This window comes from Homo sapiens, chromosome 4, assembly GCF_000001405.40.
Source record: "Homo sapiens chromosome 4, GRCh38.p14 Primary Assembly".
Lineage (NCBI taxonomy): Eukaryota > Metazoa > Chordata > Mammalia > Primates > Hominidae > Homo > Homo sapiens.
The window spans coordinates 143854829-143881385 of NC_000004.12; the positions used below are offsets into that span (position 1 = coordinate 143854829).

At 37.5% G+C, this 26557-nt stretch overlaps 1 protein-coding gene and 1 long non-coding RNA gene across 3 annotated transcripts in view; one reads left to right on the plus strand and one right to left on the minus strand.

Annotated features, from left to right (window-relative positions):
• Positions 1–26557, plus strand: part of LOC105377459 (uncharacterized) — a 125977-nt gene that overhangs the window by 11428 nt on the left and 87992 nt on the right. The window contains exons 6-9 of the long non-coding RNA XR_001741861.1: positions 4188–4287; positions 6314–6418; positions 10175–10311; positions 11143–11248. This is a non-coding gene — a long non-coding RNA (uncharacterized LOC105377459). The remainder of the gene's footprint in view (positions 1–4187; positions 4288–6313; positions 6419–10174; positions 10312–11142; positions 11249–26557) is intronic.
• GYPE (glycophorin E (MNS blood group)) overlaps positions 16036–26557 on the minus strand; it is a 34696-nt gene continuing 24174 nt past the window's right edge. The window contains exons 2-4 of one of the 2 annotated variants that reach the window (NM_198682.3): positions 25583–25681; positions 21918–22027; positions 16036–17424 (exon numbers count right to left, since the gene is read on the minus strand). In NM_198682.3, the coding sequence (NP_941391.2) occupies positions 21927–22027; positions 25583–25681 (200 nt within the window). In that variant the 3' untranslated portion in view covers positions 16036–17424; positions 21918–21926. Of the gene's footprint in view, positions 17425–20486; positions 20682–21917; positions 22028–25582; positions 25682–26557 lie in introns of those variants that run through there. The other variant, NM_002102.4, reaches the window with a different exon arrangement.

The following is a 26557-nucleotide window of genomic DNA, read 5'->3' on the forward strand; positions in this document are numbered from 1 at the left end:
CAGATGGGAGAGAGTTTCCTGTGGGCAAACTTTAGGTTGTAAATTGACTCTTGTCTCTAGAGGCAATCTTCTGGTGGGAGAGATTTCCGGCTCTGGGGCTTCTAGGTATGCACACAGTTAGGTGAACTTGTTCTGTAGTGAGTGTCTGGTGAAGGCAAGGTAGAGGTTCTAATTGCATTTCTAAAGAGTTAAGTAGGAAGTGGAGAACACGGGCAGAGGAGGAAAGAGAAAAAAAGAAAAAAAATTCAAAAAATAACTCATTCTCTTCCTCTTAGGGAAATGGCAGTACTGGGGTACAGCATCCCATTGTACACAAAACTTGTCTAACCCACGGCCCATGAGCTGCATGAAGCCCAGGAAGGCTTTGAATGTGGCTCAACACATTCAAAGAAAGTTTGTAAACTTTCTTTAAACATTATGAGATTATTTTGCAGTTTTTGTTTTAAGCTCATCAGCTCTCAGTAGTGTTAGTGTATTTTATGTGTGATCCAAAACAATTCTTCCTATGTGGCCCAGGGAAGCCAAAAGATTGGACACCCTTGCTGTACACCTTAAATACAGTTTTGTGTTTCAATTTTCCCTCAGTTAAGCTGGGAAAAAATGGCCATACCCAAAAATGACACATAAAATAGCTGTGTCAAATTTCTACTTTAATCTTGAATATCTTTCTTTTACAATAAATAAACTTCTCTCACATCATTTTTTAATGTTTCAGAGTGTTTCATTTTATGGATATTTCAGAACTCAATAAGTTCCTATTTATTTATTTATTTATTTGGACACTGTGGTAGCGTCTAATTTTTGCTAAATCTTGGGGCACATTCTTAAATTTCAAAACTGGAATTACTGAGTCTAGTGGGTCTTAAGACATATTGTTATCTGCCTCTCAAGAAGGTTTTGACTCACTTTAAATGAAGTCAAACATCTTCTCCATGTATTTAACATTCAAATATTTTGTATGTGTGATTGTTCTCTTAGCTTATTTTTTGAGTTTTCACTGAGTTAGAACAATTCCTTGGTTTACTATAAAAAGAGAAAAAATTCATTATGAGCCAAATGGATATTGAGAAATATATTCTGAGTTTTCTCTTTACAGAGGTTTTTGTTTTGTTTTTGCCTAGAGCATAGGGTTAACTGGACTAATTTACACTTTTCCATTAGCTTTATCTTGTTCAGGATAATATGAGCCAGTTTTCTTAACCCTAATAGGGCATATTTCTGTTTTTTCTTAACTCATTCTTTTTCTAGTGTATTGCTAAGTTTTCCAATTTAGTTCTTGCCTTAAAAATGACGTTGTCTAACATTATAATTGTAAAATACTAGAAAATGGCTTTGTCATTCTTGCTGCAGGCAGTCAACGACTCAAGATGACCCCTAGGTTAGCTGGAAATACATCTTGATTGGTACAGATTCCGGTTTCTAAGTGAATAAGCCGAGAACACACTGAGTGCCTGACGATGTGACATGCTATCATGTCACATGAAACTATCAGAACTTGCTAGGGTTCCAGATCCTGCACTAGAAATTCCTCCCACATGAGGGCTTTTTTTTTTCCTCCTGTGAGAAATAAACCAGAAGAAAGGAGAAGATGGATTTTTGTAATTTAGTTTCATGATTTTAAGGACCAAATCTCAGCTTTATTTCTCTAGAATAGGAAATAGAGATATCGTTGTCATCTTGTTTTTCTCACTTGATCTGATCTATGATCTGTTGAAACTTGATCATCTGTTCTTGCAAGTGAGGTTTTGTTGCTACATTTCTGAACTTCAAAATTAGAAAAATAATATCCTGAAGCTTCTGATACTTACAGTTGAGCAGACTTTATATTCTGTTTACACTTACCATTTTACATAAATCTTTATGCCTTTTATTTAGAAGACAAGATAAAAATTAAAAGAGAAAAAATATCCCACATATACATAATACCTCTCTATGGACTATTCTTTTGTGGGATAAGGTAGGTGGGAGAATGGGAGAGTAGCAGACCCATTCGAATACAAAACATATAAGTAACTATTATTTTTAAATTGGGGCCACTTGGACACCAAGATATTATTGCCTTTTTAAGAGATCCATGTTCTAGAGAACTGATTACCTTAAATAACTCATTTCTGTTTCCAAGCTTCTACTCACAAATGTACTAATGTCCTAAAGGGCATGAAGGAGATATGTGTATATATATATATATATATATATATATATATATATATATATATATATATATATACACATACATATATATATGTGGAACAGTGATATAGTAAATATGAACAGTAATATAGTAAATCACTCTTCTTCAAAATATATATAAACAGAGATATAGTAAATCACTGTTCTTTTATAAACTGGGACCCTATTCTATTTTTTATCCCCATAATAATATATTTTATAACTTCTGTTTAGAATATTGGCAGATAATAAAACTTGATTGCCTGATTTTCAATTTAAACACTTATCAATCAAATACATAAGTACTTGTTCAGGGTAGAGAAAAGTTAATACTTTATATTATCTATGTAACTCTGAAAGACAAGAAAGTTTCTGTACATTTACGGACTACAAATATAGAAGTTAAAGGAAATGCCTTCTAGCTGGCGTAATCTTAGGAAAAAAAGCAGACTGAAGTATTATAAATTGTTAGCAGAAGATGTGTAAAGATATGATCACCTAGATAATATAAATCAATTTTCTATTCTTGTGCTGAAGCCTAGACCCCACACGGCAGCCTGATGTAATTCCATTAACATGCTTAATTACTTGGCACTTGTATAGCCTTTTTATTTTTACTGTTATCCTGGTAAATCATTCAGAAGAAATAAATTAGCTTGCCACTCAAAATTAACTACTATGGTGCATTGCTGCCCCACCCCCCAAAAGATGAGTTGACAGCTACTGGGCGTTAATCTAGCCATTTTTTGATAACAGAGTATCTCTTTGCGCATAGTTATGATGAGAGGTATAAACATTCCAAATGTAATTATCTCAGTCCTTTACAACTTGAAAGTCTAATTAAAGAAAGTTTAAGACACTATAAATCTTAAGGAATTAGGTTTACGATGTGGAACCCAGTCAGTCAGAGCTTGGGATTACATTGGAAAGTGAGTATATTGAAAAGGATTGCAGAAACATTTCTCTCAGCCAGAATTTAATTGCTCAGAAAACTGAATTTCAGTAAAGTAGATGAAAAGTGGTAGGCAGAGAGACTCAGACCTATGACTGCTGAAGAAAGAGCTAATTCCATGTCCCTTTTTCTAGATGCCCTGTAATACACTTGTGTCAGTGATAAATGCTGCTTTGCTGTGCTACACCGAGTACAAGGTAGTGATAAGACATGACTGGGAAGCAGTTACCAGAGACAAGCAAGGATAGGGCTTTGAATGCATCCTCTGCTGGTGGCTTCTGTAGTTATGCATAAAATTTACTCTGACCTGTTTACTTTTATAGCCTGTCTTTACTTTGTTTCTTTTAATATTATACATGTTTAGGCTATGCTTTTTCTTTAAATATGTGAGCAAATCTATTGGTGTAATGTACTCATTACCCTAAAACCTATATTATAATGGACCCGAATACCATAAGGTAGAAGATCAGAAGAAAAAGAAAATGCATACATTTTTATCTTTAAAACAATTCACTTTTAAGATTATTTTCTTGAAAGGTATACGTTTGATGGAGCTGAATCTAGTTCCTTCAGGCAGATATAATAGGATACAATAGGATAGGACTTCTTGGGTAAAAAAGGTGTAGTAATCTGTGAGACTCATGGGAAGGAGAAAGGAAATTATTAATTAATTTGGCTGAGGCCAGGGTAGTAAGCAGATTCATTATAAATTCTGGCAGCAGAGGAATACTTGAGAAATGCTTATAAAGTTAGATCATCTATTTTTCCAAGCAAATTCTTCATGTCATTCCACCTTGTAAAAACTTTGTGGAAAAGAATAAGCACATGAATGAGCAATGAATAGACTTTGCATTAGATTGGTAATCTTGCTACTAGTACATTAATTTACTTGTATTACTGATATTTTAAGATAGGATTTTTACAGATGTTTATATATTTTTTAAAAGCCTATTTTTTTCTTTACCCATTTTCTCAATTTTTTTAACCTCGAAAACTTTTTCCTCCCTGAGAGAAATACATGGGCTATCTTCAGCATAGAACACAAACTCTGCCTTCTTTTCTCAAGTCCAGTGATTCAAGTTTGACACACCACACCACGGTGGATGTGCCTTGTCATGACACATCTCAGCAGCACTAGAAGATACATCCAAAGTCCTGTGAGCAAGGTAAGCCTTGTAGCAACCCTTTGATGTCTTTGAAAAATGCAAAAATGCTCACCGATCAGGAGCAAAGGGGCCAAAAGAGAAGTATTTCCCCCTCACATGTAGTTTTTATTTTTTTAGCGTATTTTTTGTTTTTCTCTAAATCAAACTCAGACTTACTCTGTTTACACTGAAATACACTGCATAGTGCCATAGGTGTAATCAGACCCAGATCTCAACAATGTGTATGATTGCATACCCAGTATAAATAAGGGTTTAATATCAACTCCATCTCTGAGTGAAAATAAATAGCTCTGAAAAGTCAATTCTTCCTATTTTCTTTTACATTTTGCCTTCTAATAGCTGTTTTATGTCATTTCCTTTGAGAGCTCTGATACCAAGTTGGAATAGTCCATTATATCCTAGCTCTCAGTCTTTACTGAAAGTTACATGAAAGAGGAGGCCTTTGCCTGCAATTCAGAATTCTAAATTACCAGCCTTTCTTAATTTCAGGTTGCCCCTCCTGGACATGTTGTAAACTCATGCATGGGCTTTTGAGTTAGAAAAATTTGTGTTTGGAACTTTTCTCAGCTCTTGGCTTTTCACCTGGCCAGGTTACTTTTAAAGCCACATCTTTTTTTATTTTATTTTATTTTATTTTATTTTATTTTATTTTATTTTATTTTATTTTATTTTATTTTATTTTATTATTTGTTATCTTAAGAATGGGGATAATGAAAGTGCCAGCCTCACTGAGTTATGTTATTTGAATGATATAGCCTAGGTGGTGAACCTAGCTTAGGGTCTGTTACCTGGGATGATGGTCAGTGGAAAGCCAAGATTTTTTGTGATGTTTTTGTTTATATGCTGGTAGCATATAAAGGAGTGTCTCAAGTCCCATCACAGCTTTCAAAGCTCCTCTTCCTTTTGTCTGAGCAATCAGTGAGAAAAGTCTGACAGTCAATGAACTTTAGTACTGAGATGTGCTTAGAAGGTATGGTCGTTGTTAGGTTTGATAATTATCAAAGAGAGTGATTCACTTCTTAGAACCCTGACCTGCTGCTCTAATGCCCTAAAAGACTAACCATTACCAATAGACACTTCCCTCTAGTGTGCTTGTCTAATTATATGTTAACTATAATTAACACTTTAAATCTGATAATTCCTACCTAAGAAAGTATATTACCTGGTGCAGAGCCTGGGCAGAGAGGAAGTGTGCATTCAATATATGCTCATGGTTTATTGAGTAAATCCAGATCTTTCCTTGCTACTGGGTTAGAACTCTGGGAGCATACCTTTAGGACTTAGCAAATCTGGAAACAGCTGGATATCCTTTGGGGCGATCTGGAACAGCTTGTCATTCTTCATTTCTACTAACATTTATTAGGCTTATGTGTAAGCTCTAGAGTTGGCACTCATAACTTCATTTAATCTTCACACTAGTCCTTTGAGGAACATATTATTCCTATTTTTCAGATAAGAAATTTGAGACTTAAGCAATAAAGTGACTCACTAATAGCAATAATACTAGTAGCAGCTAAGTTGACTATACTGTGTGGACCTGTGTCACACCTTAGCTGCTATCTGGATAGTAGCATGCCTTGCCTAGCATGGATTTGGGGTACTAAACTCTGTACATTCGGTTGTCCCCAAGATCCTTCCTTGAGAGCATATTATTTAGACCTATTCTTATTTTTAGGCTTGGGCCTTGTTGTGGACTAAGTGTCTGTGGTTCCCCCCAAAATGTATATATTGAAGCCCTACCCCATGATGTGGCTGTATTTGGAGATGCAGCCTCTAAGGAAGTAATTGAAGTTGAATGAGGCGATAAGGGTAGAGTCCTGATCCAACAGGATAATGTAGTTATAAGAATAGACGCCAGAGAGCTCACCCCCTCTCTTTCTACCATGCAAGGACACAGCGAGAAGATGGCTGTCTACAAGCCAGGAAGAGAGTCCTCACCAGAACCAAACCCTGCTGGACTTTGATCTTGGACTTTCCAGCCTCTAAAACTGTGAAGACATAAATTTCTGTTGTTTAACCCACACAGGTCTGTGGTATCTGTTTATTATGGCAGCCCAGTAAGACTAAGACAGGCCATCACAAGACGTGAACGTTTTGGACCTTCTCTTGGGCCCTAGTAAACAGAAATCAGGTATGCAAAAGGAGTAAACATATATTTTCCTTTATTTTTATGTTTAATGTGTAAGCCTTAGGTTTTTATTTATTTATTTGCTGAGGACAATCACACTGTGTATGTACAATGTAATTATATTGTTGATGAGGACTTACTTAAAATTTTTTAAAAATTCTAATTGATTTCTAGATGTTCAAATGACAAGATAGCATTTATATACCATCAGAACATAAAATAATTCAAAAAAATAAATCTATGAAACAATATGTATTATACTGAGAGAAAGAGAGAGAGTGTTGGAAGAATACATATAAATACAATGTGATAATGTGATGTCTCTGTGAGAATGCTATATGTAATTTTCTTTGTTTTTGTTTATATGAATTTATAATATTTTTACCTTTGAAATATATAAAAGAGAATAAAAGTCATTGACAAAATCAAAAATAACTCTATTTTTATAGGTGAGTAAATATACATCTTTAACAGAATAGCAAAGAGTTGATGAATGTTCAGAGATATTATATAAGTAACAGGTAAGAAGTGTCCTTTATCCAGAAGATCTATGGTATTCATTCTCAGTTGCAAATATATATGCAAAAAAACCCACAAATGAAACCAAAACAACTCAGAATTCTCATGAATGTTGCATAAGTAAATATATTATTTGGAATAAATTTAAATAAGCTACATACAGGATGTCTTTTAGTTGGGTTGCTGAGGGGCCCCCATTTTGCTTTTCTGATCAGTATTGTAGAAGAGCTTTAGTTTTGTTGAGTCCCTCTCCAGGGAATTATTAGGGTGATGTACTGAGAGATAGAACAGTGGATTTGGAGTCAGTAGACCTGGATGGAACTCATTTACCAGGTGTGTCATTGAAAAAGTCATTTAAGCTCTCAGAGCTTTAGTCTCCTCATTAGTGAAACTAGCATAACAATTCTGCGTCCTTTACATGGTTTCATCAGCATCAAACTAAATGAAATAATATGTGCAAAGGTTTGTGACCCAGAGCACTCTATGCTAATGCTAGCCATCATTATTCTGAAGATGACTATTATAATCGAAGTTATATAAATTAAAGAAAAATGACAGAAGTTGTTCCCCTGAAAATGTTAACTCTTGCTACTGTAGTCCTAATTATGCTAGCGCAAATCTCTTTAAATATTCTTAATTTCTGGTCTGATCTTAATTAATGGATACCAATGTAGGTACTTTGGATTTTGGGCAGACAGTAAAACCTGGGGTTCAGGAACAGCAATGTAAACAGGCTATAAGATTGCAAGTCACAACTTTCATTTATTTGATATTTGTCATGAAAACCTATATAGTGCTTTCAGTGTTCAAAGGCCTGTGGTTACAGCAGCAAGTAAAACAAAATTCCTGCCCCACCGGAGCTTACAATCCAACGGGAGGAGGGAGAGGGCCAATAATACAGTAGAAAATGAATATGTAATAGGTCAGTAATGAATATGTGATATGTGAATATGTGATAGAGCAATAAATGTAGTAAGTGCTATGGAGAAAAAATAAAGCAGAATAAAGGAAAATTCTGTAGGTCAGATGTGCAGGCAGCAGAATCTGAGATGGAGATTGAAGTGCAGGAAGTTCATTCAGAGTCTTCTGAGGAAGGAAGCAGGGTTGGGTAGAGAGAGAAGATGGGCTCCGAAGCAGGCACAGTTGGGCCTCTGCCAACTCCATGGGGAACTGGAAAGCAGGGATGGGCCTTCTGATTGCCTTGACTTGGGGTATGGAGGCCAGGCCTTTATATTCCTGCAATGGCCAGAAATTGGATGCAAGTTGTCCCTTGGGAAGGGGACTGTGACCTTGGTGACATGACTTTCCTCTGCTGAGGGCAATTCCCAGAGAGGGCTGACAGTAGTGAGCTTCCAGCCAGTAGCACTGTGTTCATTACAGGGGTGTGTGTGTGTGTGTGTGTGTGTGTGTGTGTGTGTGTGTGTCTGGGAGGCAGGAGGTGAGATTGCTTTTTTAAAGGATTATCAAGGGAGCCTCTCTGAAAACATTTTGGGAGTAAATGTGAAGGACATGAGGGAGGAACCTCATGAAATCTGGGGGAAAGCAAGTAGATATCTGGGGAAAATATTTCTGAGGAAGATAATTTTGAACTTCTTTGGATTTTTCATGTGGATTATCTATATGAGTAATGTCTATGCTCATATATTGCTTTTCCAGTTGTGCTTATCATGGTAGTAGTAATAATAGTAATAACAACAATAATGTCATTTTTATCATGTAATTGCAAGCTTTGCTTTAGGAACTGATGTAAATCTTTCATAAGATCTTACTAGAGTATTAATTAGCTAATTAGTTAATTTACTTATTCATTCAGTCACACAGTGAGTGTTTATAAATGCCCACTGTATGTCAGTTACTATGCGAGGTGCAATGAACACCATGGTGAGCAGGAGGAGTTAGTCCCTGTGTTTGAAACTGTTAAGGTGAGGCGACTGACAAATGAAACAGGCAATTAAAAATATAGTGTAAACAGTGGTCCAGTGTAGTTAAACAAGGTAAGGAAGGTGCAGCAGGGAAACACTAAGCCAAAGAAGAAACCAGGTGTATGAATAAATAGGGAATGGTGAAGCTTTCTTTGAATTGGGGTGGGATGGGGTGTGTGGAACAGAGGTGGGCAAAGTAGGTGAGATAAGTGGCTTTGGAAATGAAACCAAGTTTTGTTTAGTGACCTCTTACATTGTCAGATGGGGTTAAATCCATAAGGGTCTATAAACATTGGCCTGCTATGTAGAAAACACATGTTTCAATGGCAACTCAGCTGTGGGAGAGGTTTTCATTGCTAACGATGGGCTCCTAGCATGAAGAGATTCAGGTAAAGCCTGCCTCGAGGAGTGGGCCGGTATCTCTGATGAGAGCTGGCGCAAGCTTGAGTAGTGACAATGGGGAGATCTCCAAAAGTGCCAACTCCTACCACCCAACACCCAGGAGAGAATAACTTCTTACTCCCTCCTCACAGATCCTGAGCTGAGCTAAACAACCTCTTCAGTTCTCGCAATCCATGTGTCTCCCCTTCTACTGCCCCATTCATGCTGAAAAGATGTCACAGGACTGTCTACTTAAAGATTACCTCTCTAAAGCAGAGTTGACTCTATGTATTCTTTAAAGGCAATCCTGTTTTTTTTTTTTCAACACTGACCCAAGAACACTTGGATATAGACAGCAATATCAGCATGGTCAGAAGGTGGAAATTCCACTGGCTTTCTTGTTTCATTTAACATTCTTTGACTTGCGGGTGATACTAAAAACATAAAAATATTATAGAACATTTTCAAAGTCAAATTGCTTTACAAGTCCCTTCAAAATATTTTTTTGTCCTCTATGTTCATAGCAATTTTAAAGTGTTAGTCTGTAAAATATTGTATCTACATGTACAGCTTTGTTTTTGATAGTCACTTCTAGAACAGGCTGAAAATCAGTCAGGAAAATTCAGTAAGACCGATTTGTGGTTTATCCATATGCCTATGTAAACCTGAGATTCTCACATTTGTCACTAATGACAGTCATAAAATAATTAAAGACAAATGAGTTAGTATTTTATCATCTCAAATTTCCCTCTTTTCCCTGAACCTTCTTATATTTCTAGAAAATAGTTAGAAGGAAGTCTGACTGAGAACTCAGGGCTTATTGCTCCAAGTAAAAAGTAGGCTGAAAGAAAAGTTAAGTCATTGAAAATGGTATCTACATTTACTTTCCCTTTTCTTTGTACTCTTTGCTCTTGACTTTAAATTCTTTTGATTCCAGAAGGAAGAAAACTTTGCTAATGCTCTGCCAAGCCTCACTTTTCTCTCATGATTAGAAGGTTTGATGTTATCCAGAATTACTCATGGAAGATGGAAGAGCTGCAGCATTACAATGAAAGCCATCTTACAACAGCCTGAGTATCTTTTTTTTACCTGAGTCAGGAGCAAAAAATATTCATGTATATTCCCTAAAAGGACAAAAAAGGATCCAATGAAAGGGCTAGGTTGTAGAAAGGTAGCATTTTATTGCTAAATGACAACTAAAATCACTCTGTATGCCTTGTATTGTAAAAGAGAAAATTAAGACCCAGAATAAGATCAAGAGTTTTTCATTGATCGTTATGATATTAAAGAAGTTTTGAAATACGTGGCTAGCTTTCTCACATCTATGTGCTGATTAGACCTCAGCCAAAGACTTCAGGGGAGCCCTCTGCAAGTTTCTAGAGTTCTTTGTGCAACTTTTTCTCTTGGGTTCTCTGACTTGCAAACTCAAACCGCCAGGCTTTTCTTAGACTCAGCTCTGCCTCCTCATCTCAGAGAGACCCTACAATGGGGCCTGGGAACCCTCCAGGCTCTGAGCTGGACAATGGAGCTCACCTCCATTTTGTTTGTTTCCTCTCTCTTGGCAATCACTCTTCTGTGCTACTGATGCCCAGTGTCTGAAATTCATTTTTTTCATACCTTTTGTTTGTTTGCTTGGTGTCATTTCCTGCAGGAGGGTAAATCTGGCTGGCTCCTGTTGTTCCATCTGTCCTCCAGCAGCTTCCCATACAGGCAGCTCACTTCACTTCATTTTCAATTTTAATGACTTCTGTTCTTTATTATGCCTTTTGTCTACTTTTTTTTTTTGATTATTCTTCTTGTTCTTTTTCTAAGTTCTTGAGTTCATATTTAGTTAGCTTTTAGTCTTTGTAAGTCAATTGCTGAATGTTTTGAAGTTTTCACTTTGTGTTACTTTATATTTTTTAGGCTATTTATTAAACTAATCCACGTTCTGAACAGTTATTGCTACTGGAAACCAGTCCCGATCCAGACCACAAAAGACGATTCTTGGATCTTGCACAAGAAAGAAAGGGTGAGTCCATAAAGTAAAGTGAAAGCATGTTTATTAAGAAAGTAAAGGATAAAGAATGGCTACTTCATAGGCAGGGAAGCCCCGAGGGCTACTGGTTGCCCATTTTTATGGTTATTTCTTGATTATATTGGTACGAACAGGAGGCAAGGAAATATTGGGTAGAAGGGGGCGGTTCCTTGGCAAAGACACCACCCTCAAGCTTGGAAATCCATGGCCCTAAATTTGAACAGGCATTCCTGTTTTCACACCTTAATGTTGCCTTTTGGCCTGCCATGTCCCCCAATCCTATACCCAAATAAACCCTAAACCTCAGGCTCCAACAGCAGAAGATCAGAGGAGCAGAAGAGTGGTGCAGCAGAGAAGGAGAGAAGAGAAGGAATGTCTAAATGTCAAGAGGAGTTCAGCTGGGGACAGTCAGAGAGGAGATAGGCCATGGGACAGCCAAACTCTAGGGGAAAATCATCTTTCCACTCCATCCCCTTTCCAGCTCCCCATCCATCCCACTGACAGCCACCTCCACCACTCAGTAAAACCCCCGCATTCACCATCCTTCAAGTCTGTGTGTGACCTGATTCTTCCTGGACACCGGACAAGGACCCGGATACCAGGAGGTCACTGAGCTGATTAACACTTAAGCCATCTGTGGACAGCAGAGCTAAGAGGCAGTGTAACATGCACACTGGGGCTTTGGGAGTCGCAGACACCCACCCTTAGATCCTACCATGGGGCTGGAGCCCAAAAGCACTTTCTCCAGCTCTTGCACCTGCCTATGTGCATGCTCTTCCTCCCGTAAGGGGTTTGAGCTCATGGTGGCCAAACAGACAAACCACACCCCTGTTGCACGTCCTGCAAGTTGGGGGTCAGGGAACTCTCCTGTTTCAACATGTTAAACAAGGGGTGGATTATTCATGCCTCCTCTTTTTAGACCATATAGGGTAAATTCTGGACATTGCCATGGCGTTTGTAAATTGTCATGGTGCTGTTGGGAGTGTAGCAGTTAGGACAACCAGAGGTCAGATCACCATCTTCGTTTTGGTGGGTTTTGGCCAGCTTCTTGACTGCAACTTGTTTTATCAGCAAGGTCTTTATAACCTGTATCTTGTGCCAACCTCCCATCTCATCTTGTGACTTAGAATGCCTAACTGCCTGGGAATGCAGCCCAGCAGGTCTCAGCCTTATTTTACCAGGCCCCTATCCAAGATGGAGACACTCTGGTTCAAATGCCTCTGACATTACTTCCAAGATGATTCCTTTTTTCATTACGTAGTGGCCCCTTTATCTTTGAAAATGCTTTATCTATCATCTATTTTATTTGATATTAATATAGCTACATGAAATTTCTGTATTTTTACAGCCTCTTTACCTATCTGACATGTAATACCCATACAATAAAGAGCATGTAAGGCACTGATCTTAAGAATAGAGTTTGATAATTTTTTTCTAATGTATACAGCCATGTACCCACCACCCAGATCAAGATAGAGAATATTGCCAGCATCAAAGGAAGTCACTAGCTTTATTTCAGTTGGTATTTTCCTCAGACATCTTTTTTTTCCATCCCTTACTTTTTACTTATCTATTTATGTTTTAAAGATTTTACTTTCAAACAGTACGTGACTTTTAGTAAAGTTACAGTACATTGATTGATTGATTGTTACCTTAAAACCCAAGCCACTAAGTATCAACAACATCCTCTGTTCCTATTCTCCCCTCAAATAAAAGTAGACTTGCCATATTTGTTTAGAATTTCTGTGTCTGCCAAGGGAGTCTTTAATTGCTAAAACTAAAAGACTCTATCCATATTTGCTTTTAGTGCTTTCCTGTTTTTATTTTAGTAACTTAACCTTAATTATGTGAAATATTTTATGTTGTAAAGAATGAGTAGTACAGATCCATTTTTTTCTTCTTGAGTATCTGACAAATTTTCTGAATACAGTGAAAATCTATCTTTTTATATTGATTTGAAAGCTGCTTTCTTCATGACACTAAATTATTACACGTATTTGAATTTACAAATGAATTGTTACATTTCACTTATCTGAATATATATTTCTTTACCCGGAATGTTCTTTTAATTAATGCTTAATATAACTATATATTATAATTCCTGGCTGAAGAAGTTCCCACTCATTGTTCTTCATTTTCATAATTTTTCTGACTATTAACACACATTTATTCTTCTAGATGGAGGCTGTTTAACCTTGGCACTATTGATATTTTGGACTGGATAAATAAAAATCAGTAGTGGGATCCTTCTAATTTCCTCTACTTTCTTTTTGTAGCTCTGTTTGGTGCCCTCAGGTGGGAATGCTATGTCAACTCTCCAGTACCTTCTTTCTTTTTGGCCCAAAGCAGATATTCTGCAGAGTTTCTTGTATGACGTTGGGTTGTTTCTTAAATTTCAGAGTAGATTATTGTTTATTCTATACTTTTCTTCATTTAAGCAGATTTCAAATAGATGGAATTTGTAAATATTTTCTCAAGCCTCCATCTTCTCATTTTAAATTTCTTTAAGAAATATTTAAATTACTATTTTCACTTATCTGTTTTTAATTGCTCTGCTATTGTTTGGTATTTATAAGTGATTTATTATTTTATCCTTTTTATTAGGTAAGAGATGTTAATGGTGAGTTTGAGATTGATAGGAGCTATTTTGTTAGAAATAAATGAGGAACTGTTGCAAGAATGGACTGTGATTTTTACCTTTTATTGAATTGTTTTGGCTTCTTACAGCCTCATGACACTTTCCTTAGTGTTTAACACAAACAACTAAAGTAAAATAACTGCCATTTCTCTCCTTGCAGTTAAACTGCAAACAGCTCTTTTTATAAGAACTGTGATTGCCTCTAGCAAGCAGTCTCAAGTACTTGATATATCAACACACTATTGCCCCTTTTTTTCACACCTGAAGTTTGTAGAATAAACCACTAAAAATTTCATAGTATCTGAGGAGAATGGATCTCTCCAGATGATGTTTTCTTGCCTGGGGCCAATATGTGCACCATAGAGTCAGTCCCCTTTATCTGCCATAAAACTTTGTTTATGAAGCATTGCTTAATCAATCTTCACATGGTAGGACGATACAGGCAAAAGCTGAGGTCTTGCTATACATCTCTTTCAAAGTTTTCCGTCAAGGCCATTTTGCTTTTAGTCACTTTTTTTTAATATTTTCGGCAGCAGTTATTTATTTCATTTCATTGTATTTGACCCATCCAAATGTTTAACATGGTTTTATAAAAGTAACTTTATTTTCAGCTTGTCTGTAGATTCAATTTTCTTGTAGTTGCTGGTATAAGTAATAGGGAAAAATGTATCAGTCTTATACAATAAAGAAGTTCAGATGAGCGTGTGTGGGAGTGTGTGATATAGGAAGAAGCAATCGGTATATAACAACATATGTCTGCCTGCTACGCTTTTAATACTTGTTAGAGTTTTAGTTTCTATGAGTATCTTGGAGGTGCTGGAATATATATGCAAATTTCCTTCTAAAAGATTGCACCAAGTTACATTACCATAACAACAATAAGAATTTACTGCATCCTTAGCACATTGAATATTATATTAGAAATACCACTTTGTAGGTTTCATAGATAATGGATAAATTTTCTGTTGTTTTAATTTACGTTTTAAAAGTAGTGAGGTTGAAAATGATGCAATTTGAAATGCATGTGCATAAGAAGTTGAATAGAAGTTTATTGGTCAGAATGTGGAATGAGTTTTGAACAAGTTAAATGTTTTGAAAAACAGTATGAATGTACTGAATACTTTTGAGGTGTGATCTTCTAATTGCTCTAGCAAATTGAATTGGTCATAAGAAAACGTTTGAATTTTTCCGATCAGTCAGTCATTGTATTAGTTCATTCCCATGCTGCTATAAAGAAGTGCCTGAGACTGGGTAATTTATAAAGGAAAGAAGTTTAATTGACTCACAATTCTGCGTGGCTGAGAAGGTTTCAGGAAACTTACAATCGTGGCAGAAGGGGAAGCAAACACATCGTTTTTCACATGATGGCAAAAGTAAATGGGGAAGCCCCTTATAAAACCATCAGATCTCATGAGAATTTGCTCACTATCATGAAAATAGCATGGGGGAAACTGCCACAATGATTCAATTACCTCCCACTACATTCCTCCCACAACACATGGGGATTGTGGGAACTACAATTCAAGATGAGATTTGGGTGGGGACACAGCCAAACCACATCACTATGCCCCTGACCCCTCCCAAATCTCATGTCCTCACATTTCAAAACACAATCATGCCTTCCAAACAGTCCCCCAAAGTCTAAACTCATTCCAGCATTAACTCAAAAGTCCAAGTCCAAAGTCTCATCTGAGACAAGGCAAGTCCCTTCCACCTATGAGCCTGTAAAATCAAAAGCAAGTTAGTTACTTCCTAGATACAATGAGGGTATAGGCAATGGGTAAATGCACCCATTCTAAATAGGATAAATTGGCCAAAAACAGGAGCTACAGGCCCATGCAAGTCTGAAATCCAGTGGAGCAGTAATTAAATCTTAAAGCATCTTAATAATCTCTTTTGACTCCATGTCTCACATCCAGGTAATGCTGTTGCAAGAGGTGGGCTCCCACAGTCTTGGGAAGCTCAGCTCCTGTGGCTTTGCATGGTAAACCCCCCCGCCTCGGCTGCTTTCACAGGCTGTCTGTTATCTAGTTCCAAAGTCACTTCTGCATTTTTAGGTATCCTTATAGCAGCACCCCACCTCTAGTACCAACTTACTGTATTAGTCTGTTCTCATGCTGTTATAAAAAACTGCCCAAGACTGTGTAATTTATAAAGGAAAGAGGTTTTATTGATCTACAGTTTTGCATGGCTGGGAAGGTCTCAGGATACTTACAATCATGACCAAAGGGGAAACAAACACATCTTTCTTACATAGTGGCAGGAAGGAGAAGAATGAGAGCTGAGTGAAGGGGGAAGCTCCTTTATAAAACTATCAGATTATGTGAGAATTTACTCACTATCATGAGAATAGCACAGGGGAAACCACCGCAATGATTCAAGTACCTCCCACTGGGTTCCTCCCATGACATGTGGGGATTATTGGAACTACAATTCAAGATGAGATTTGAGTGGGAACACAGCCAAACCATATCAGTCATTCCACATATTGAGTGATTTCTCTCTTCTATTCAGTATTCTTCCACAGAGAGGGACCCATAGTCATTACCTTCAAGGAACCTAAATCCTGGTGTTTTTATGGTTACGGGTGGCATATAATATACAGGTAAGCCAATGTTACAGGATGTTGTGGAACTATTCCTATTCTTCCATAAGTAGCCACTAGGACCACGGCTGAAACCAAGAGGCACTGATTACCACCTCACTCTAAAGAGAATTACTGAGTTTGTGTTCACTGCTGGGGCCAGATCTCTTTGCAGGGCTATGTTAGGCTTTACACAATGTGACCCTCTAGTCTGTACAAGGAGAGGAATGCAGAGGGAAAGCGATTCACTGGAGTCTCTCGTCAGTGACCTGGTGGTGAATATATGGTAATGGGTAAATCCCACTTCACCTAATGAAGAAAAGGAGAAGGATGCACTTCATTCTTAGAATCTAAGCAGGAACAGGAAAGGGAAAATCTAGGAGAAAAGCTTACAAAGACTGTAAATGCCTTCAAGAAGGTGAGAGAAACTAATATTTGGTTTACTGTCAGCAGTCTGTTCGGGCGGCATTTTGCCAATATAGCCCTATCCTAAGGGAAAGGGAATTGTGGTTGGACAACCGAGTTCTGAGAAAGGCAGTGATTGAGCAGCTGAATTCCATCCATTTGGTGGGTAAGGACCTCAGAGTATTCAAAGTATCAAATGGAATGTGACTGAAGAGTTATCTTGCTGATCTTACCCAGGAGGACTGTCCCCTAGGCAAGGGGACACCAAACACAATGAGGCATGGGATAAGGATTTCGTGATGAGAATCGGGCAGAACTGGAGTTTAATCCTCATGTCATGGTAAGGCCCTCTGAAATTCTCTCTACGCCTTTGAGAGACTCAGCATTTAGTTTCTGACTCCTAGAGTCCCTTAGTAGCCAGTCAACGTAAGCCAAGTTAGTAGCTACAGCCGTCAGGCACACAATTACACCATGAACAGTGAAGTAAAAAAATGTCCTTTCTTTGCTTTCTTCCTCTAATCTCAATCCCAGAGGCATGAAAACCTAGAAAAAAGAAAGTAGCTGTATAGCTTTCATTTACATATAAGATTGATGTTTTGAAATTTTAATAACAAAAACAACCAGAAAGTTGCCTATCTCCCCAAGATGTTTCTAGGGAATAGGAATAAGAAATAGGAAAAGTATATTCCATGCAGTATAAGCAAATTTAAAAAATTAATTTTTTTTACCCTACTGAATTGAGACTTGCCAATAACCAGTTATACAAATAAAGAGGCTAGTCCTGGGAGCTGAGTGCTATGAAAAAAATACAGGTAGAAAATGAAAGAGAAATTAATGGGAAGGAGGGAAGAAGACTACAAGCTGCTTTGCGTTGGGTAGGCAGGGAAGACCTATTTCATTCAATGAAATTTTACTGAGTTTTCCTGTGTTCTAGCCATTATTCTGCGCTCTGAGGATACATCGTAAACAAAGCAGATAAAAAATACAGTCATCAGAATTTTCCTTGAAGGTGTGAGACAGGAATAATATGGAGGCAGTCAAGCAAAGATATGAAGCAAAAAAAGGAGAAAAAATTAGAACAAAGTTCCTAAGAAAGAGCAAGCTTAGTAAGTTGGAGTTTTGGGGAAAAGTTCAGTGGTTGCAACCAAATGACAGGAGAGAGTGGGAGAGGGTTGAAGGGGGCAGGCCAGGTGAGCTGAGCATGTGGACAGGTCAGAACTTCAGAGAGCATGCTAACAAGTGGTGATTTTATTCTGGTGCAGTGAAAAACCTACTGGAGATTTTAAGTAGGAGAAATACATGATCTAATTGATAGTTTGAAAAAATTGCTCTGTGAAGGAGGGAATATAAAAAACAAGAGTAGAGACAGGGAGACAAGCTGTGGGGCTGTTACTATATTCCATGCCATCTCATCCATTCTTTTTAGTAAGAATAAATTCTGCTGGTCACCTTTTAGTGATTTCTTTTTAAAATTTCAAAATATTCAGAGATGGGGATACTTTAATCTGAGGACATTAAAATATACAGCATTTTTATGCTTTGCTAGGCCTAGAAAAAGTTTAATAGACTTAGGTAAGACTTACATTAAACTGATTACTTTTGATTTAAAGGTAATAGCGTTCAGCTGAGAATGGAAATAATTTTCACCTGGTTGGCAATATTTGCAATCACTTCTGAACCTTCAGTTTTATCCAGTTGAATAATAAAGGTCTAAAATTTCCTTTATTTGCTTTTGTCAGAGCAAATTATGTTACCAATAACACAACCTACAAGAGAGAAGAGCCATGAGAAGGGTCAAGAACAATCTATGAGTAACTTAAGTGGAGGCTGATATAACATATTCTCTAATATATGATGCTCTGATAGCATTTGACAAGACCATCTGGAAGAGACCCAGATAGAGACAACAATTCTAGTTAATATGCTCCATTGAGTGATGTTCATCAGCTGATTATGTGAACTCAGGCTGAACTCTAGTCATAAAATTTGGAAAGAAGGCAGTTTGAGAAATGGTATATTCTTCACTGTGAAATGATTGACCTGAGCATGAAATCAATTCTAAAAATAACTAAGGGGCAGATAAGTTCATGACCAAGCTTATAAAAATGAGAACCACTCAAAAGATCTCCAGTTTTATTCCTAAACCTATCTGTGCTGAAGAACTTTTTGGATGCTTCCCACAGGACTGAAATTCCTGCCTCTAATTTGGACAATGACAGTTCTCTGTAATCCACAATTGAATGGTCACTGGAACATGTTAGACATGCAACATAGTCAAAGAATGCATAGATTAGGGTAACTATGTCAATTATAAGTAAAACCCCATGTAGACTAATGTAACTCTGTTAGGGAGATGTGTACTAGCAACTGTCTTGTTGCTATATGTATATATGTATATATATGTATATATGTATTTAGTTTTGAAAAAGTTAATGGCTTTTGTTATTGTCTCTTTAAAAATGTAATATAGTTTTGTTACAGAAAATTAAGAAGCTAGAAAAAAAGTGTAAAGAAAAAGACAAAAATTAGCTATAATCCCACCAAGTGAAATTAAGCTCTATACATATCCTGGCATCTCCCCCATCCCACAGCCCCCTCACCCACAGAAAGAACTTTTAATGTAGAACTGTCTGCAATCTTTTAAACATGCAACAAACACCATTCCTTGTCATCAGACCTACCAGATTTTATCATGGTGTGACTGTAATGTCTGAGGTTTCTGAAATAGTTTAGAATTTATACATTCAAAGCAGTCACCTTGAGAGGTAATAACATTCATTTATTCAAATGCAGATGCTGAACATAGCAGATTTGTGACAATCTCTTACTGCTCACTTAGGGGAGGCATACAGCATATGGCCAAGGCCTGCTCTACGTCCTGTTTTTAGGATGGGAGAAAAGAGACCTCAGACACTCCTCCTTCTGACTCCAAGGATAAGGCAGTCAGAATGTATCTGGTGTGTACTCGAAGAGGAAACGTGCTGCACATTGGGACCCCAGGTCCTTTAGTTCAACCTGTCCTTTCTGAGGTGTGGGCATCCTGGAGTCCCTCAGAGATTTCTGACCCAGCCATCTCAGTAAGATCTGCTGTGTCCTGGAGGTGATGAGTGCTCTCCAGAGTTCATTTGAAAGTCAGGCCCTTCTCTATGTGCTCCTACCCCTGTGCCTGTCATTCTCTTTACTGTTGAGGAGGGACCTTAACTCCTGGCAGGTGAACTATAATTAAGATCAATGGATGCTAAAGTAAGCCTATCAAGAATCTGGTTTTTGACAAAGATTTGAATAGAACTTGGTCCTTGCCCTCAAGGATCTCACAGTATGATAAACTTGTCTTTGCTTTTTAAATTACAGTGCCATTTCAGCAGTCAGGCACCTTGGGTACTTGACTGAATCTTGTTCTTTTCCAACATATTTCACATGAGACTTCATGTTATCCTGGACAGCCACCTAATGAGAGTCCAGGCTGAAGTCTTCATTCCCCTTCTGCATGTTCTCTGCTGTTGGCTTTGTTCAGACCCTTCTTTCTTCTCATCTATCCTACTGTAATGGGCTTTACATTTTAAACATAGCTTGAAATAACAAATCATGACTATACTACATGCAAATAATTTGTATTTTGTTTTATTTTTATTTAGAAGTAGAGAATACAGTAATAGGCAGGAGAACAGGGAGTTAGGATAGCCAAGGGTTGGGGCATAAGCAAAGGAATAGCAGGTGCAGCCAGTTTGCATAAGCAAGAGAACAGCAGGTGCAGCTGGTTCTAGGCAAGATCAGGCAGCATGCAGGCCACATCCTCATGCCTGTGATAAAAAGACAGAAGTTTCCACTTCAGCCTCTGCTTGACCATGAGCTACGCCTCCACTTCAGCCTCTGATTGGTCACAGGCCAATCCTTCATAGGGTGTAGCCAATTGGAGGCTTCTAAAGGGTACCTAGGGGTGTTGCCAAGTTCTTTTGGCTTTATAAAAACCCTAATTGGGGCCAGGCGCAGTGGCTCACATCTGTAATCCCAGCACTTTGGAGGCCAAGGCAGGTGGATCACTTGAGGTCAGGAGTTTGAAACCAGCCTGGCCAACACAGCGAAACCCCATCTCTGCTATTAAAAAAATACAAAAATTAGTCAGGAATGGTGGCCCGCACCTGTAGTCCCAACTACTGTGGAGGCTGAAGCACGAGAATCACTTGAACCAGGGAGGCAGAGGCTGCAGTGAGCAGAGATTGCGCCACTTTGCACTCAAGCCTGGGTGACAGAGGGAAACTCTGTCTAAAAAAAAAAAAATAAAAAAAGCATTAATGATTCAAAAAAAATCACTGATGTTAAGAATTCATGGGTGGAAATTTGAAAAATCTGTTGCAAAATATGTGAGAATTAAGAAAGGCAAAAGGTTTATTTTGTTTATTTTTATTTATTTATTTATATATTTATTGAGACAGGGTCTCTGTTGCCCAAGCTGGAGTGCAGTAGCATGATCACAGTTCACTGCAGCCTTTATTTCCCAGGCTGAAGCAATCCTCCCACTTCAGCCCCCTGAGTGGCTGATACTACACGTGTGCACCACCACGCCTTTCTAATTTTCATATTTTTTGTATAGACTAGGTTTCACCTTTTTGCTCAGGCTGGTCTCAAACTCCTGAGCTCAAACAATCCTCCTGCCTTGGCCTCCCCCAAAGTTTTAAACATATGTAAATATATTATTTTAAACATTTTATTCACTAATAGGGTAAATACTATAAGTAGCATCTTAATATTTCCTCAATATCCATCAAAATATGTGAAAGCAAGTTAGACAAAACTTAGGGAGAGCTTTCATTGGGAAAATGGGGGACAGATTTATATTTAGAGGCTCCCTTTAATTGGGCAAATGCAAAAAATAAATTATGCTAGAGAAACACAGTGACTTCTATGTGTCCAGTTGAAAAAGATGGAATTTTATGCAGTTCTGTTTCTCTTTTGAGTTTAACTGAACTCAGAGGAATAAACCCTCCGAGAGCTGTTCACACTGGTATTTAGAGCAAAATTAAAAACTGAATTCTCACCTTTATCAGTCATCGAATACAGTAAGAAATTAAGATGATCATTCCAACAACAACAAGCATCACCTCAAAAATAACACGAGCCATCGCCCACCAATTAATGAGTGTTATCCCTACAGGAGATAAAGAGAGCGGCAAAATTATGAAAGTCTGAAATAAATGACCACATCCAATTGAAAAATAAGATAACATCAGCATAACATCACCTTGCCTTTTAATAGAAAGTACAATTAATATACTATCATGTGTATTTTGTCTTTTTTAAAACTGTGTGCTTTACAGTAACCTTGTGGGAAACTGGGACTGTGGGTGATCAAGTCTTTTGTCCAAGGTCGCACAAATAGTTGATGACAGAACTAAGACCTGAGGCTTCTGATTCCAGACCCAGCGTTCTTCACTAGTGTAACTGTAGATAAGAACTCAGTGGACGTTCTCCTCAGATATGGGGAAAAAACCACAAATTCTCCCATAGTTTGGAAATTATGAGAGAAAACAATGTCTTAACATATAAAAGAGCATTGAACAGATCATAGAATCATAATTTTGGAAAGAAACTGGTATAAACAGTTTACAAATGAAGAAAAGAAGCTGAATAAGGTTAACTTAGCCTTGGTCAGACAACTAGTTAAAAGTAGAATTATAACTATAATGCAGGTCATCTATATTCTAAGCTTTATTCCTTCCACAGTATTCTTATGCATAGTCTCCAATATAGTCAATAAAAATGCTTGTTAAGTCATTTGTATGTTGGGAATGAAACAACTTAAATCAAGTAAGAGATATTTCCATATTTATAGCATATTTGTAGTGCTTCCAGTTGAAGTAAATAGAATGGAAGGCTAGACATAAAGGTAAAATGGCTCATTTATTTGCCTAATTAATATTTAAAAGTCCTATTATTGATAAAAAGTGAAAGTAGCATTTCCTCTTGCTGGTGTTGCCCAGCCTTCTTGACCACTTAGCTTGAATGTATGCGATAGTGATGAAGTTCTATGATGTGCTTTTTACCCTGTGAGCCATGGACACGGCCAAGTGTGAAGGGAGGGTTAGAATGCAGAATAGCAAATGAGCACACACAGTGATACTCAAGTGAGGGGAAGGGATGTCCCTTCAGCAGAGGTTGTCAAGATGGTCCCTAAGTGGTTGCATTGGGCCAAAAATGAATCAAGGCTGAGATTTACCCTTGAAATACAGTACCAGTTAATTAGATGATTTTAAATGCCTTGCTTTTTACATGAGGGCAGAGGGAACTTCACTTGTTTTATAAGCTCTTATGAGGCTTCTTTCAAGTACTCAGGGTTGGTTAGAAAGGTAAAACATCTAACTTAAGAGAAAAACTATTACCAAATTATGTATTTCTATTTCCAAAATGTTTTTATTTATTTTTATTTACTTATGTATTTGTTTTTGAGACATGGTCTTACCAAGGCTAGAGTACAGTGGCACAGTCATAGCTCACTGCAGCCTCAAACTCCCAGGCTCAGGCAATCGATCCGATCCTCCCACCTCAGCCAGCCTCCCAAGTAGCTGAGACTATAGGTGCATGCCCCATCCCAGTTAATTTTTGTATTTTTTGTAGAGATAGATTTTGCCATATTGCCCAGGCTGTTCTCATATTCCTGGGCTCAAGCGATTAGCCAGGCTTGGCCTCTGAAAATTCTGGGATTATAGGCATGAGCCACTGCCCCTGGCCCCCAAAATGTTTTTAAAAATAAGAAATGCCTATTTTAATTTTAAAAAGAGAATATTTTCTTTGCCTTTACAATTTTGTGTGAATAAAGTTAACAACATATGCTCTTCTGTTTTAAGATTGACACATTTTCTTAGGCATTTGAAACAAGCAATGGGATAGTTTAAAATGGAATGATTTTGATTCTTTGTCAAATATTAACATATCTGCTTCAGGGAAACGATGGACAAGTTGTCCCCTTTCTCCTATAAAGCGAAATTTCAATGTAAGTCCAAATAAGTAAGACGTGCAAAGAAAAAAATCATTTTGGAATCGAACTGTTCTGTGGGTTTCCTTTTCTTAATCATATTTTGAGAGTTGTTGGTCAACTTTCAACATCTAGCTAGTAAAATTTATGAGGGAATGTGTCAGTCCTACCATTAGTAATTTCAGTATCTACTTTTAATGACCCAACAAGTATTCATGGATGACAAATAAGCAAATTGTCTTATAACTGAGGGGAAAGGAATGAGAAAGTATTGGAAGAATCACTTATTGACTTCCACAAGAAGCAATGCATTTTTAAAAAATATAAAAATAATGAGAAGAAAGGAGGCATATGGAGCCATTACTCCACACAGATGCCAGTCCCATGCAAAGAGGGATCATGCGGCCATCAATTTTCCAGATGTATGCCACAGCCACTGTCTGAATCTAAACTGTTACTGTGTCTCATTTGAGCTTTTGCCAATAGTCTCTCTGGATTCTATGTCAGCAGCAATTGATAGTATGGTTGCCTTACTGTTCCACCTGTGCTAACCTTCCCTCTCAGTCCACATCTTACTTATGTCTCTGTCTCCACTTGCCATTTTACATCATGAAGCTCTCTTACTACCAAAGCCACACAATTTTCTAGAGTTTAATTATTACAAATTACTTAGTATATACTACGTTGTTTGATGATTGAGGATTCAGGTATATTTTTTCATTCTTTAGGCTTTACGTACAAAGGTTAATTGGGGCTTTCCTTCTCTTTCTTGGTTACAGTTAATGGTTGTGGGTGGTATATGGGCTTTGGAGTAAAACAGATGGGTTTTCTGTCACAAAAGCTTGAGAACTGTCATGAGTTACAGCTCGTGTAAACAGAGTTCAATCACAACAATGACTCCAGAGCAACTATTTAAAACTAAGAACATATCATTTTCCTCTTCTGGAGGGTAAACAGTTGTAACAGAATTTTCTGAAACTTCATTAACACTATGAGCTGGATATGTGTCCCGTTTGTGCTTATCTGCATATAAGAGAAGTTGAGAAAGGGAACAAGAATGAGGTGACTGCGTGGACATAAAGTGTATCATGAAAGACAAATCTCCCACATCCCTCCCAGCAGCAGCTCCAGAATTTCTTCTTCTCCCCTGAAAACTAACAAGAGAGACTGCCACCAGATTACTCTTATCTCAGCACCCAGCTTTGCTTATTGTTTATCAGTCACTGAGAATGTGTGAGGCTCTGAGCTAATAACTTTTAGACACTTCTTCTTATTTAGCCTTTAGAGAAATGCTGTGAGATAAGTACTGTGTTATTGGCCCCATTTTAAAATTAATGGGATAGAAACCCTGCAGGGCAACTCACCCTGGGTCAGCAGCTGGCATAGAGCTGAGCCCGGGTCTGAGCTGAACTCATTTTGCCCACAGACCCTCCGCACCACCGCACTATTAGGTCCCCTTTATCTGGCCCACTATTTCATGGTCACGTGCATCATTTCTGTGCTTTGCCACATTGTTTTAATTTCTTTAACTCACAGTATTATTTCTGTGAGATATTTCAGAGGCAAGAATTCCTCTGTAGTAGGAATTGTGTCTACTTAGTAGGCTGTGTCTACTTAGCTCGCATTTCTCAGTGTTTGTCAGTTTCTCTGCAGTGACAGGTCCCCTAAAATAGGGTTGCATCACAAAAACGATTTCGGAGCCACAATTTAAAAATAAAAATGAAAACAAACCATTTGTCTGTGATGAGATGTAACTCTTTGTGACTGAAGAAGAGGTTGAAGTGTGCATTGCCACACCAGTGGTACTTGATGCTGATATGCTCACAATTCCTGTATAAAATAGAAGTTGAGAAAGGGATTAAGAACGAGGTGACTGAGCGGACCATAAAGCATATCACAAAAGACAAATTCCCTCACATCCCTCCAGTCCCTGAGCTAAGCGCTTTGGTATATATCTTACATAATCTTTAGAGAATTGCTGTGTGGTAAGTATTGTATTATTGGCCTTATTTTAAAATTAAGGGGCCAGAAGCCCCTCCAGAATTTCTGCATGGCAGAGGTTTACAGATAAAGTGTGCCTTGGTTTTCTCATCTGTACAATAATAATACTTGCCTCAAAATGTCATTGTGAGAATGAAATTAGTTTAAATATGTGTATGTGGTGTGTGTGTATGTGATGTGCATGTGTTAGTATAGTACTTGGCACATAAAGAGCATTACATGTATGTTGGGTATTATTGTTATTATGCTTATAAAGGGGTAACTTGAAGTTGCATTTTGGAAACTGTCTATGCTAAGAAAGGTGGAAGCGCATAATAATTATATAGAACAAAACTTCTGTCCCATATCTCAGTGTCTCCATCTGCTAGGGACAATCTTACTTCTTCAATAAAAATGGAAACAATAATAAAACACTATTACATTGCATGAACCCAGGAGGCAGAGCTTGCAGTGAGCTGAGATCACACCACTGCACACTCCAGCCTGGGTGACAGAACGAGACTCCGTCTCAAAAAAAAAAAAAACCACGCACGCAAACATGAAATCAGAATGTAGACTCATATATATCCTTTTAAAATCTCATTAAATAAATTGTGAATTATTTCTGTAATTAAACACTTTTTATTCTTAAATGCAATACATTTCAAATTTATAAGTTATTTTATAAAATTTTATAAATTAAATTCTTTAAATTGCAAAAGTAAT